Below are 13,931 nucleotides of genomic sequence, written 5' to 3'. Positions count from 1 at the left end.
ACATCCATCACTTAACTACTTATTTTTTTTGTAGTGAGAACATGTAAAATCAGTTTTGAAATATACAATAAATTATTAACTACGGCCATCATACTGTGCAATACATCTCTAAAATGTATTCCTTCTATCTAACTGGAACTTTGTACTCTTTGACCAACATCTTTCCTTGCCCCAATGCTACACCCGCTTTGGTCGTCATAACTCAGGATGCTACTGCCTTCTACTTGGTAGATGACGGGAATACTGCTAAACATCCAAAAATGCACAGGACAGCCTCCAATAGTTATCCAGTCCAACATGTCAACAGTGCTACAGTTGAGACATCCAGGGTGAGTGAGCTCTTCATGAACTACAAAAGTCTTTAATACTCATTAATTTATCTGATTCAACTACTTTCAACCATTATGTCAGATGACGTTTAAAATACATTTAATCCCACGTCTACCTCCATGTTTCTTCTCTTAACATTTGCTATGATGTTCATTATGAATGTTTGTTTCTATGCATTTACTGATCAAACTACATATATCAGCTTCCTAGGTCTGCCATAAAAGAATTCCACAAAATTGGAGGTTTAAAGCAAAAGAACTGTATTTTCTCATAGCTCTAGGGGCCAGAAGACCAAAATGAAGGATTCAGCCAAGCCACAGTGTTTTGAAGATGATAGAGGAGAATTTTCCTTGACTCTTCCACCTTCTGGTGGCTTCATGCATTTTTTGGCTTAGGTATACATTTTACAGATCTCTGCCTCCATCTTTACATGACCTTGTCCCCTATGTGTCTCTTTCTCTATCTACATCTTTTTTTTTTTTTTGAAGGACACCTATCATTAGATTTATGGTTCACCTGGTTAAACAAGAAAGATCTGATATGAAGATATTTCACTTACTTAAACATGCAAAGACCCTTTTTTCCAAATAGGGTCACAATCACAAGTTCCAGGGTTAAGATTTGGACAAATCCTTTGAAGGGCACAATTCAACTCACTACACTGGGATATTCATATTTGTGAAAATTTCCTTCAATTTATATGAATCCATGCTATAAATCTCATTCTAAATTGAAATAAAAAATTGTTAAGGTCCACATGGGAGAATAAATAAGATGATGATGCAAAGAAACATTTTAAAGGATGAAAATAATAAAGATATTTGACCTGAAGAAAAAGATGTAAAGGAAAGGCAACAGCATGGCATAGGGGTGAGAAGAGAATGGATATTTATTGAATGCCCACTACCACCTTGGTGCTGTGCTAGTGTATACATACATTATACAAAGAAAACATAATCAAAAAGTTTTATTCAAGCAATGACACAGAAACACAGCATTGATATGGTTTGGCTGTGTCCCCACCCAAATCTCATCTTGAATTGCAGCTCCCATAATTCCCATGTATTGTGGGAGATAACCTGTGGGAGATAATGGGAGATAAACCACTGGGGTGGTTTTCCCCATACTGGTCTCATGGTAGTGAATAAGCCTTACGAGATCTGATGGTTTTATAAGGAGAAACCCCTTTCGCTTGGTTCTCCTCTCTCTTGCCTGCTGGCATGTGAGATATGCCTTTTGCCTTTTGCCTTCTGCCATGACTGTGAGGCCTCCCTATCTATGTGGAATTGTGAGTCCATTAAACCTCTTTTTCTTCATAAATTACCCAGTCTTCAGTCTGTCATCATTAGCACCGTGAAAATGGACTAATACAGTAAATTGGTACCAGTAGAGTGGGGTGCTGCTCAAAAGATACCTGAAAATGTAGAAGCAACTTTGGAACTGGGTAACAGGCAGAGGTTGGAACAGTTTGGAGGGCACAGAAGACAGAAAAATGTGATAAAATTTGTAACTTCCCAGAGACTTGTTGAATGGCTTTGACCAAAATGCTGATAACGATATAGACAATGAAATCCAGGCTGAGTTCGTCTCAAACAGAAATGAGGAACTTGTTGGGAACTGGAGTAACGGTGACTCTTGCTATGTTTTAGCAAGGAGATTGGTGGCATTTTGCCCCTGCCCTAGAGATCTGTGGAACTTTGAGCCTGAGGGAGATTATTTAGGGTATCTGGCAGAAGAAATTTCTAAGCAGCAAAGCATTCAGGAGGTTACTTAGGTGCTGTTAATAACATTCAGTTTTAAAAGGGAAACACAGCAAGTTTGAAAAATTTGTAGCCTGATGATGTGGTAAAAAAGAAAAACCCATTTTATAAGAGAAATTCAAGCTGGCTGCAGAAATTTGCATAAGTAATGAGGTGCCAAATGTTAATTGCCAAGACAATGGGGAAAATGTCTCCAGGGCATGTCAGAGACCTTTGCAGCAGCCCCTCCCATCACTGACCAAGAGGCCTATGAGAAAAAAATATGGTTTTGTGGTCCAGGCCCAGAACCCCCTGCTGTCTGCAGTCTAGGTACTTGGTGCCTTGTGTCCCAGCCACTCTAGCCATGGCAAAAAGGGGCCAAGATACAGCTCAGATTGTGTCTTCAGAGGGTGCAAGCCCCAAGCCTTGGCAGCTTCCACATGGTATTGAGACTGTAGGCACACAAAATCAAGAATTGAGGTTTGGGAACCTCCTAGATTTCAGAGGATGTATAGAAATGCCTGGATGTCCTGGCAGAAGTTAGAGGCAGGGGTGAGGCCCTCATGGAGAACCTCTGCTGGGGAAGTGCAGAAGGCAAATGTGGGATTGATGCCCCCACACAGAGTCCCTACTGGGGCACTGCCTCATGGAGCTGTGAGAAAAGGGCCACCGTCCTCCAGCACCCAGAAAGGTAGATCCACCAACACCTCACACCATGTGCCTGGAAAAGTCACAGACAATGCCGATTTGTGAAAGGGGTTGGGAGGCAGGCTCTATCCTGCAAAGCCACAGAAGTGGTGCTGCCCAAGGTCATGGGAGCCCATCTCTTCCATGAGTGTGACCTGGATATAAGACACGGAGTCAGAGGAGATCATTTTGTAGTTCATAGATTTGACTGCCCCACTGGATTTTAAACTGGCATAGGGCCTGTAGCCCCTTTGTTTTGGTTAATTTCTCTCATTTGGGACAGCTGTATTTACCCAATGTCTGTACCCATTGTTTCTAGGAAGTAACTAACTTGCTTTTGATTTTACAGGCTCATAGGTGGAAGGGACTTGCCTTGCCTCAGATGAGACTTTGGACTGTAGACTTTTGAGTTAATGCTGAAATGAGTTACGACTTTGGGGGACTGTTGGGAATGCAAGATTGGTTTTGAAATATGAGGACATGAGATTTGGGAGAGGCCAGGGACAGAATGATATGGTTTATCATGTGTTCCCACCCAAATCTCATCTTGAACTGTGGTTCCCATAATTTCCATGTGTTGTGGCAGGAAACTGGTGAGAGATAACTGAATCATGGGGGTGGTTTCCCCAATACTGTTCTCATGGTAGTGAATAAGTCTCACAAGATCTGATAGTTTTATAAGGGGAAACTCCTTTCACTTGGTTCTCCTTCTCTCTCTTGCCTGCCACCATGTAACATGTGCCTTTCGCCTTCCACTATCATTGTGAGTCCTCCCCAGCCATGTGGAGCTGTGAGTCCATTAAACCTCTTTTTCTTTATAAATTACCCAGGCTCAGGTCTGCCTTTATCAGCAGTGTGAAAATGGACTAATACAATCATATTAATTCTTATTGCTTTTACAAAAGTCATGTAAGAAATATATTTCAGCACATTTTAGAATGACTCAATTTTCATCAGAGATAGTTCTATGTTTCTATATCTCCAAGTGCATTTTATTTAATTTTCTTTAGTATGCTATTTATATTTTTATTTGTGCAACATTTATAAGTAGGTAATATTTTATTGTACACTTTGGTTTAAATTTTATTTGAATATATTTTTATAGTAGTTTAAAAACGTATTATGGAGAAATAGCCTTTGTTCAACATATTTTATATTTCCTGCTCATCTAAATTATATTGGATCCCAAAAAGTTGATTTTATTTTCTCCTTTATTTGCTTCAGCCCCTAAGACCTTGTTAAAGCTTAATAGATTACTAATTACAAGTAATAATGTCATCCTAAAATACATTCAATTATGCTATGATATCATTTCTAATTGAAAATTACAATATTTAATATAGAGTAAAAAACAAATGAAAGCCAAAAAACAATATATTTAGGATTTATAGTATGCATAAACACCAAGGTCAAAATAAGCTAACATTTATTTAAGTTTTATGTTAGATCAAGAAGTTGAAGAATATTGTTCTTACATGATTTGATTCTTTACCTTAGGTTCCCCCTACCTCTCTGGAATTTGCTTTATATTATTTCTTATCTATTGTTTTCCTTGGGAGCAGGGCTGGCAAAGAAAGAGAAAGAGAAAGAAAGAGAGAGAGAGAAAAAATATTTTAAACCACATGTAGAAAAAATATTTATTTAGAAAGATAAGTGGTTTCCTCTCTCTTTAAAAATATTGTTTGCAGGTCCTAAAGAAGCGTTGATTGTTTTTTGGGTCATTACTTTATAAAATTTTTTTCCCAAATGTTTAATGATTTTAACTCAGATCCATACTTTGCCATAAAAAGTATGTTTTAAATTACGATTTAATGTACCAAGACACCAACATTAACTATGAAATAATAGAATATGATTTCAACCAAATCTGTCCAAATTTGATATCTATTTTTCTTTCAGGAAAAGGTACTTTGAGTTCAGGTGATTTGTAACATAACATGCCAACCCACTTTGAATACAGAAATAATAGCAGCAATGATAACAGCTAATGTTTATTGCCTTCTTATTAAATGTCAGTTTTTTCGAAGTGATTTATACGTATTGTGTCATTTATCATCACAGCAACCTTATGATTTAGGAAAGGCTTATTATCCCTATTTTACATAGAAAAACAGCAAATACTGGGACACCACAATTTCAAGTAAGGGTCTCAAGGCAACTTAACTAGGAAGTGGGAGTCTGGGCAATGAACACAATACCAGATTGTATAATATGTGTGCAGCACTGTGCTAAGTGCCTATGCTGTGTGTGTGTGTGTGTGTGTGTGTGTGTGTATACACATTATATTTTTATGCTGTAAAGACGTTCCTGGGGTGACACAGTGTGACTATGTAATGGAATTAACTATTCTTTTGCAACATTATCTATAAATTTGTTCATAACGGTAAGTTCTCCAATATTACACAGTAGAAAAGACTCAGATATCAATACCCAGGTATTTTAAATTTGGAATGAAGAGAATGGTGCCTTTCAAGCTAAAATTTGTGGAGTATAGTCAAGGCCCATACATTTATATGCCTTGAAGTATTTTTTAGCAGAATTTACTTTTATACTAATATCTTTAAGATTAATTCATATTTGTCTTTCCCTGTATTAACAGTGGACATTATTTAAAAAATAAATCCATGAGATAAATGCCTACTCATAACAAACTCCTTTTGATTTATCTGGTAAATTTCTTGACTGAAAATTTCTGTGCAATGTAATTGACATCCACAATTCCTATTCTCTACTTAAGTTCACAGCTGGCCCATGCAAAATAAGCCATTTTGTAGTCCATCTGTTCTAAGGAAGTGATTTGTAACAGTGCACAACTTAGACCAGTACTGCTTTATCACTAGAGTTGCAGTTTCTAAATAGATTTCAAAAATAATGATGTTCAGTTTCTACTTTTAGATACCAGTGCGATAACACCTGTCTAGACAGATGGTCTCTGGACTGTGAAACTAAAGACAGCTGAGAAGCAGAAAAAATCAAGTTGGTGACTAGTGTGAAACCATTAGTATCTCTTGTGGAAACCTTTTAGTCTCTGAAAAATACTTTCTATTAAGATTTATGGGAAACTTAAGCATGCTATGAATACGAGTATAGACTAAAGTAATTGAAAGAAAAATGTACATAAGAGATTAAAGGAAAGTGACTCATTATTGTCTTTAAGAAGAATTCAGGAATCAGATAATTAATATTTTATATTAAACAATCGAAGACTATCGTTTTCTTCCCTCAGAGACAAACAGCAGTTACTAGCAGTTTTTATTTGCCAAAAGTCAGACGATGAAAACCTCGTAGCAGAGAGCTGATTTTTCTCTTTTCATGCAGTTGTCCCCTGTGGTGTAGGTGACCTTATCATAAAGTCTTCTGCTTTTTCAGCCACTAGTGTTGTGGTCTATGTAAGTGGAAAATTAGTCTGGGTACCTCGAGGAAATAAAAAGCAGACTTCCAACCTGTACTGCTCTGATTACACTGTCTTGCATGGCCTACTTTGTCAACTATGTCGCTTCTCAAGGTTAATACCTGCTTCTTCAGGAATAATACCATATGCCTGATGGAAATTCATCTGTTTCAATCCAGTTTACAGACCTAAACATTCATCAGTAAGTAAGTCAACAAATATCTTTTTATGACCAAAAAGTCCAACTCTTTGAGATTATTGAAGCCATGAATGAGAAATGTGTTGTCTCTGATTTGGTAAATGCTGCTTAATTATTTATTTAGAGAAGGAAACCTCTATTCCCCCTCTCAGTTAACTACAGGGCAAATGAGATATATAGAATTCCACATTTTCTAACAGAACCTAGATACAGCAAATTTATTGAGGCTTAAAATTTAGTTTTTTTTCGCTCAGAAATTATATAAGGAGTATAATTCCCACCTAATTGTTTTTAGTTTAATGTTATATTGATTTTTAAAATCTTATTTACTTCCTTATCTCACCACTTTTCTTACTATGTAAACTGGCCTTTTACCTTCAATTTATACAGGTTTCAATCCTAAGAGAAAGACATCACCTAACTTAAAGTATAAATTGTTTTACCTATGTAGGAAAGACATTAGCATTTAAAACTAAGGTGCTTTCTATTACCAAAATAAAGCAAATATGGTTCTTGAAAATAAATTTTCTCAAATTAATTGTATCAATAATGGCTTAAGTTTTCAAAAATAGATATAAAGGTTTTGGTGAAGCATTCTAATATTAATTCACCTAGAATATAGTAATATAGTTAAAGTAATTTTTATAACTCAAAATATGAAGAAATTTATTATCTCTGTAAATGCACGGATGTTACAAAATTGTATTATGTATGGTATGCTATTATGGATTTGATTTCAAAATTATGTAAATATCACAGAAAAAAATCCTTATGGTCTTGGTCAAAATTAAATCATTGTAATAATGTATAGGTAAGTGAAATATATTCTGCCCTAGAGAAAATTTTCAGGTTTTGAATTAGTGGTAATACATCATATTTTTGCTTTGCTTGTTCTTCTCTTTTCCAGTGGAACGTATATAATCTCCAACCCCATCTCAGTTTGTACTCATATTGTCTAATGGTTGATGACTTTGACATATTTGTATGCCTCCCTAACACTAAAAAAATTGTTGGACTGTATGTGCAAGGGACATTGGATTAAAAGACACAAGGTGACATTTGGATAAAAGGATACACCAGTGGTTTTCTTTATGATATTTATCTAACTCCAATTATTTGGATTATAAGAAAAGTGAACTCAGTGTAGATTGAATAATGTTTTTTAACACAGACACATTACTTGCAAATATGCACAGAACATAGTGATAGCTAATAAAGTGTAGCACTGTATACACATACACAACAGATATGATTGTGATTTTAAATTCTTATAACAGGACATTCCTCCTAATTAAATTTATAAATTGAGAACTACAATGCTTTTGCAAGAGTCTTGAAATCATTATCTGCAAAGTATATCAGCAAGGAAACTAAAGCCTGTCATATAATAAACTTAAGTCTTAATGCATCCAAATGCAAGCAGTATGACAGCGAGAAAAATCAGATACACCCTTCATACGTATTTAGTAGACTAGTTTTTGAATGCCTTGACTGAAAAAAAATTGGAATGCTTTTGTGCAAAAGAAAGTCTAATAATAGCCTACTCCCAGTAAAGAAGATATAAAAAATAAAATAAAAACACAACTGGGTCCTACTGTCAGACTTGAAACCTTGGAAAAGTCATTAAAATATTAACATATTTTACCACTTGTTTTTCCTATCTTAAAGAATTACCCTGGGGATCAAATAAAATAAAACCTATGAAAACACTTTGAAATCTATGCAATCATAGACAACTCTGTGGCAATATTATATTCTGCATGTTTCTAGTTAAAAGGAAACAATTAGGCGACTGTTCTTCTCATCTTGGATGCTTATTTTAAATTACTGGTCCATTAAATTTATGAATCTCATCTATTTTATTTTTCCTGAAACAGAAGTACTACTTACTGTCACCAAAGTCATAATATTGTTTTCATCACAAATACTTTCTATCATAGCCAAAAGTAATTGCACAGAAATGAACAAATTTTATCCTAAATTAGGCATTTTTACTAATTTTAATAGCTTTGTATCTAAAACCAATTATTTTTCAAAACCAATGAACTTTAATGTATATTAAGATATTTTTATCACATTATTTTCACAGTTGGATACATTTACTTAACTAGTAGATATTTTTCAAAGGAACAAAAGCATTTCCACTGAAGTTATTGCAAGATATTAATTCAACTAAAACATCTATGTTGAACCATTCATGTAAATTACAGACAATTTAAATATTGATGCTGTTTGAATAAAATTGAATGAATATCACATTATATCATATTTAAAACCAATGCACTTAAACAGAATAGATGAAAAAGAAATAAAACCAATTTATATATTGAAGGACTATGAATACTTAATTTTTTGAAAAATCACATCATGTCTCTCAATGTAAGTTATCTTGTTCTTGTCATTGCCCTGAACATAAAGTTCGTGGCTCCTGACTGCTCACAAAATAATGTCCAAAATACTCAGCTTGCCTGCTAAATCTTTATCCAAACTACAGTCCCAATTTCATTTGTTAATTCACCCTCTCTTTCCATGCTTATACAATCCAAATATGCATATAAGCTTCTACCACTATACACAGGCACCTACATCTCTTAGTTTCCCTCACTCTACTCAACAAGCCTGATATTAATGTACTTTTATGTCTCTTCTCCTACGTTTATCTTAGTGGTGATTTTCTGCCCTTACTCTTTCTTAGCTGGCATTCCACTCATCACTCAAGAGCTACCGTAAATGCTAGTATTTCATACATGCCCCAGGTAAAAGAAGTAACTTCCATATAAGTATATATTTATAATGATTTGTACTCTCATTATATTACAGCCTATTGGATACATCTATCACTCTCACCATTTTGTATTTTCAATAACAGAGTACATAATCTCTAATTTACAGGGGCAAGAATAGTAAAATTGAAATACATTTCTTGGGGGAGGAGTAGAGGTAATAGTGGATGATCCTACATGACAACTATGCATTAGGTAGAACATTTCCAAATCATACATACATCAGAAAGGTAAGGCTTTTATTTGTTTTGCATCAATCATATCTGATAATATTTTTTAGGTGTGACCTCTTAAATTAGTATACAGTATATTTAGTTTAATAATATGCATGGATTAGAAGAAATACCTAATGTCGATGACAAGTTGATGGGTACAGCAAGCCACCATGGCACGTGTATACCTATGTAACAAACCTGCATGTTCTGCACATGTATCCCAGAAGTTAAAGTATAATTTTAAAAAAAGATAGAAACCTAATAATAATAATAATATGCATGGTTGTGGGGCCTATATGGAATGAAAGGTGGAAAAGGTACTTTTACTTACCATGAATAAATGAATTATATTAAGAACAATATACTTTTACTTACCATTAATCTCCTTTCTCACACTAATGACTGCTGTATCTCTTGATCACACACAACTTTAAGTGCTAATACTGGGGGGCTCTTTAGTATCCACAGGAGACGGGGTTGGTAAAAAATACTTGTAATTTACCACCTACCCCGGACTTTCTTCCTTACTATTCAGGGTATGCCTATTTGACACAAACAGCTACTCCTTCCGTGGCCATTAATAACACTGTCACTATTGTTCTTCCTCTTGTGTAAATTTTTCTTTTTTCCTGACATGGCTGTCTTCTGTATGCCACATGTTAGCGCTGTCTTATCTTTTAAGATATTACGAGACGTTTCCATCCTTCTCAATAGAGCAGCACTTTAATCACTGAGATTTTGTTTCTACCTAAAAATGGTCAGATGGTCAGAAACTGCTTCTCTTATGCCACAAGGGGCTATTACATTTATTTCAGAGTTTAAGTATTTCTAAATATATTTCAACAGGCTTAACTCTGGGTGTTAAGGTTTCATAATTGCTTATAATCAGAAATCCAAGTTCCCTCAGACTGAATCAATGTTTTAGACACACATTAATTTAAATTATACATGGGTAGTACTACTAACAATAATGACATATTAATGAGATTAATCAATAATGCATTATATTGAAAACAGCATTTTATAATTATTATGGTTACTTTTGTGAGAATGATAGATATTAATGAACAAAAATTACTTATGCCCATAGGATATTTGATAGATAGTGACAAAAGACCCAGTCTTAATGGTGGTAGTGATAAGGGATTTGAAGCCAATTCTTTAAAGATAAATAGGTGTACTAACAGTATCTAATTGGGTAGAAATCATTAATGTTCAGAAATATTTCTACTATATTATATTATCTTATATGTTATATATCAATATGTTATTTCCAAATGCCTCACAGAGTTTTAAGTACTTATTTGAAGTGATCGAGTATGGCCATGAGGCACAGGGGAAAGGGCACTAATTTGAAAGTCAGAGATTTAGACAAGTTATTAAATTCTCTGAGCCTGGGGTTCCTCATAAAGATAACTGTACTTGCCCTGACCTGCATTTCCCTAACTCGCCTCATTTGGTGATTTAAAATAAAAATAGAATGATATATTATGCCAGACGAAATGTAAAGGGCTATAAACTCAGGGGTGGTTATTACAAACTGTCCCTAAGTTTGTCACTGCTAATTTCACAAAAGCATTCATTTGACATTGCCTTTCTGCTCCTACATTCATCAACTTTGTGGACTCTGGTTAACTTTTCTTACCCTCTGCATTGTAAATTTAGCTGGTTTTTAGCCTTCCCAACATGGGTCACATTTAATGTCAAAAGAAAACAACAGTTAGTCATATATTAACTGAATAGCCATATATTAACAACCAAAAAACAAAATAAGAAATAAAAAAAAAAACAGAAAAACAATAGCAACACATTTTCAATCTTCTGTTGTGTTGTCCAGCGTACAACAGAGACTATCTTATTTGATTTATGCTTTGCTTCCTATCCTTCAGAGATTACTTCCTAGTGTCTGGCAACAGAGATCATAGAGAAATGCCCTTGTTAAAGTTTAAAAATAATTTCTGTATTTAATTAATATCTATTACAACTAAATTAAACAATAACTATGCTTTAAGAGAACTAACCCTGCTTTTCACTCCTGTATGTGTAACTTGGTAAGTTTAAATTAGAGGAAAGTTGTTTCTAGTCATCTATAAGTCACAAGTCAATTAATAAAATTTCTAGGGTCCCTCCTATATGTGCTCTCTCATTCAACTAACAGCTATGTACTACATGTCCTAGAATAGAAATTCTATACAAATAATTTATCTTAAAATTCAAGAAATAATAAAATAAATAAGCAATGAAAATTGGAGAACCCATTTCTTAAAGTAAAAGTTGCCATTTTTGGCATTTAGTTTCTTAAACAGTTAATGTAACAATCTCAAAAAAATTATTATAAAGTACCAGAAAGTACTGAAACACAGAAAGGGTACAACAAACATAAACCATAATAACACCACCCAGATATAGCTACAATTATCATTAGATTTTTGTATATATTTTCTGCACCTGAATACAAACACACATCTATAACAAAAATGGCTCCATGATGTTTTGTAATATGCTTACTTTATTCAGTAATATAACATACACAACTTTTACCATTTGTAGATGTACATAAGTATCATAATTTTAATGACTTCATAGTATTCTATACTTAAATCATATTTAGTTGGTTTCTAAGTTAATGGATATTAAAATTGATTCCAATTTTTCAAATATTGTACATTTTTATTCATTGAGCTTTCTTTTACATACATTCTTTCAAATTGGCCAGTTTTTAGGTAGTTTTTTATAAGTGCAATTGATCAACATTTTGACAATTTTTAATGCAAAAATAATGTAACATGTACTCTTAAGTGTGATAAACTAAGTAAGTCTTTGTTCCATAAAAATGATGTAACTACTGTTGTCATATATAAGCTCAGATATTTAGGAGATACACAGAATACCCAAGTACTCTGTATATCTTTGCACAATAAAGCAAAATACAATAAATGAGGTATACTTATATTAGCTATGGATTGTAATCTGAGATGGATTGGACTACCGATTAACTTTTCTAAGATAAATTGTTAGAAAGGTTATATTGATACTACTTTTAAAAATTGCACCTAAAATACTGAAGAAGTCATACAATTATGATAGGTCTGCACTAAGGAACTATTAGTAAAACAATAAACTAAACAACAAAAAACACATTTTCTTTCTTTCTCATGTATTGGCTCCTGTTTGCAAAATTGGGGAAGAAAAATCATTATTAATACACCACTTAATATATTCCAGGGATATCATACTTTATTAATCTGATTTCATTTAATCTTAATAAAAATGCTGTAATTTGGATAGCATTCCTCCAATCTTGAAGAAAATGAAATGGAGATTTAGGTATGTAAACTATTTGACCAAGATCATTGAGTTAGTTTTGTTTTTCTCCATTTTGCTTTGGCTTTTTCTCCTCGTATCCATTGTTTGTCATTCCTCTGCTCTATTCTATATCATAAATGGCCAACACATAAAAACTAGGTTGCTCAAGTTCTGTTGCCAACCAGCCTTTAGCTAATGAGACACCTAGCAGGAAACTGGAGGGTGACAAAAAGAAGCCAAAGTAAGTTCCCTTCCTCTGCTCTAAGCAGCATCCCCGCAGATGAAGTGCCTCTTCTGTGATTTCAGCTCCTGATAGACAACCTCTCCCTTGGTGGGCTCAGCTCTCACAAAGCAGCCTCACTATGATTCCAGCTCCTCCCAAGTGGTGGTCTCTACTCTGGAGCTCTGTAACACTCCTCAACTCTCTGACTTGCCAGTCTTAAGGGAGGTAACAGCTTTCTACTCTGTGAATTTCTGGGTTCGTCTTGGTTCCTTGTGCCTTACAGACCTTTCAACAACTTTATCATTTGGTTCCAAAGCAAAACTAGCACCAGAGACCACCAAACTATTTCACATTTGTTCTGTTTTCCTGATTAGCCCCAGTAATCAAATCCAGGTCTACCTGGATTCAAGGTGTGCAGTTGTTCCAGTTTTTCATGTAGGAATTTCAATGTAATTGCTAATCCTAGAGCAAAGGGGAAAATGACCAAAGTTATAGTAACAGGACCGCAAGTGGTAGGAATTGTTTGTTCAGTCTATAAATTCTTCAGTTTAGAAAGGCAGATATACACAAATGGCACATCTTTATCACTGTGTTTGATTTAGGTCTCGATTTCATTTCCTGCATTTCCTGCAAAGTCAGGAATCTTTCATAGACATAAGGCTTTTTTTTTTTTTTTTTTTTTTTGAGACGGAGTCTCGCTCTGTCGCCCAGGCTGGAGTGCAGTGGCACGATCTCGGCTCACTGCAAGCTCCGCCTCCGGGGTTCACGCCATTCTCCTGCCTCAGCCTCCTGAATAGCTGGGACCACAGGCGCCTGCCACCGCGACGGGCTAATTTTTTGTATTTTTAGTAGAGACGGGGTTTCACCGTGTTAGCCAGGATGGTCTCCATCTCCTGACCTCGTGATCCGCCCGCCTCGGTCTCCCAAAGTGCTGGGATTACAGGCGTGAGCCACCGCGCCCGGCCGTTTTTTTTTTTTTTTTTTCTGGTGAGCACAATACATCAGAAATTACCTTCCTGACAGTATGAAGTACTTTGTCCTTTGACACATTTCTTTTT

The 13,931-nt window shown here is 34.8% G+C and overlaps 1 protein-coding gene across 11 annotated transcripts in view, besides 1 other annotated feature; it reads right to left on the bottom strand.

The window, feature by feature from the left end:
• CNTN5 (contactin 5) overlaps positions 1-13,931 on the bottom strand; it is a 1,337,937-nt gene that overhangs the window by 1,254,307 nt on the left and 69,699 nt on the right. The gene's annotated exons all lie outside the window — the stretch shown is intronic.
• Positions 11,735-11,904: an enhancer, noted in NCBI's record as "experimental_21952 CRE fragment used in MPRA reporter constructs". NCBI's record gives its function as "activates a minimal promoter by MPRAs in K562 erythroleukemia cells, with activity observed for the non-introgressed 11:98963490 variant allele {active_cell/tissue: K562}" and the evidence as "EXISTENCE:reporter gene assay evidence [ECO:0000049][PMID:34662402]".

The sequence above is a fragment of the Homo sapiens genome, chromosome 11 (genome assembly GCF_000001405.40).
Source record: "Homo sapiens chromosome 11, GRCh38.p14 Primary Assembly".
Lineage (NCBI taxonomy): Eukaryota > Metazoa > Chordata > Mammalia > Primates > Hominidae > Homo > Homo sapiens.
Note: the sequence above shows the minus strand (reverse complement) of the source record. Positions and strands in the feature narration are given on the sequence as shown.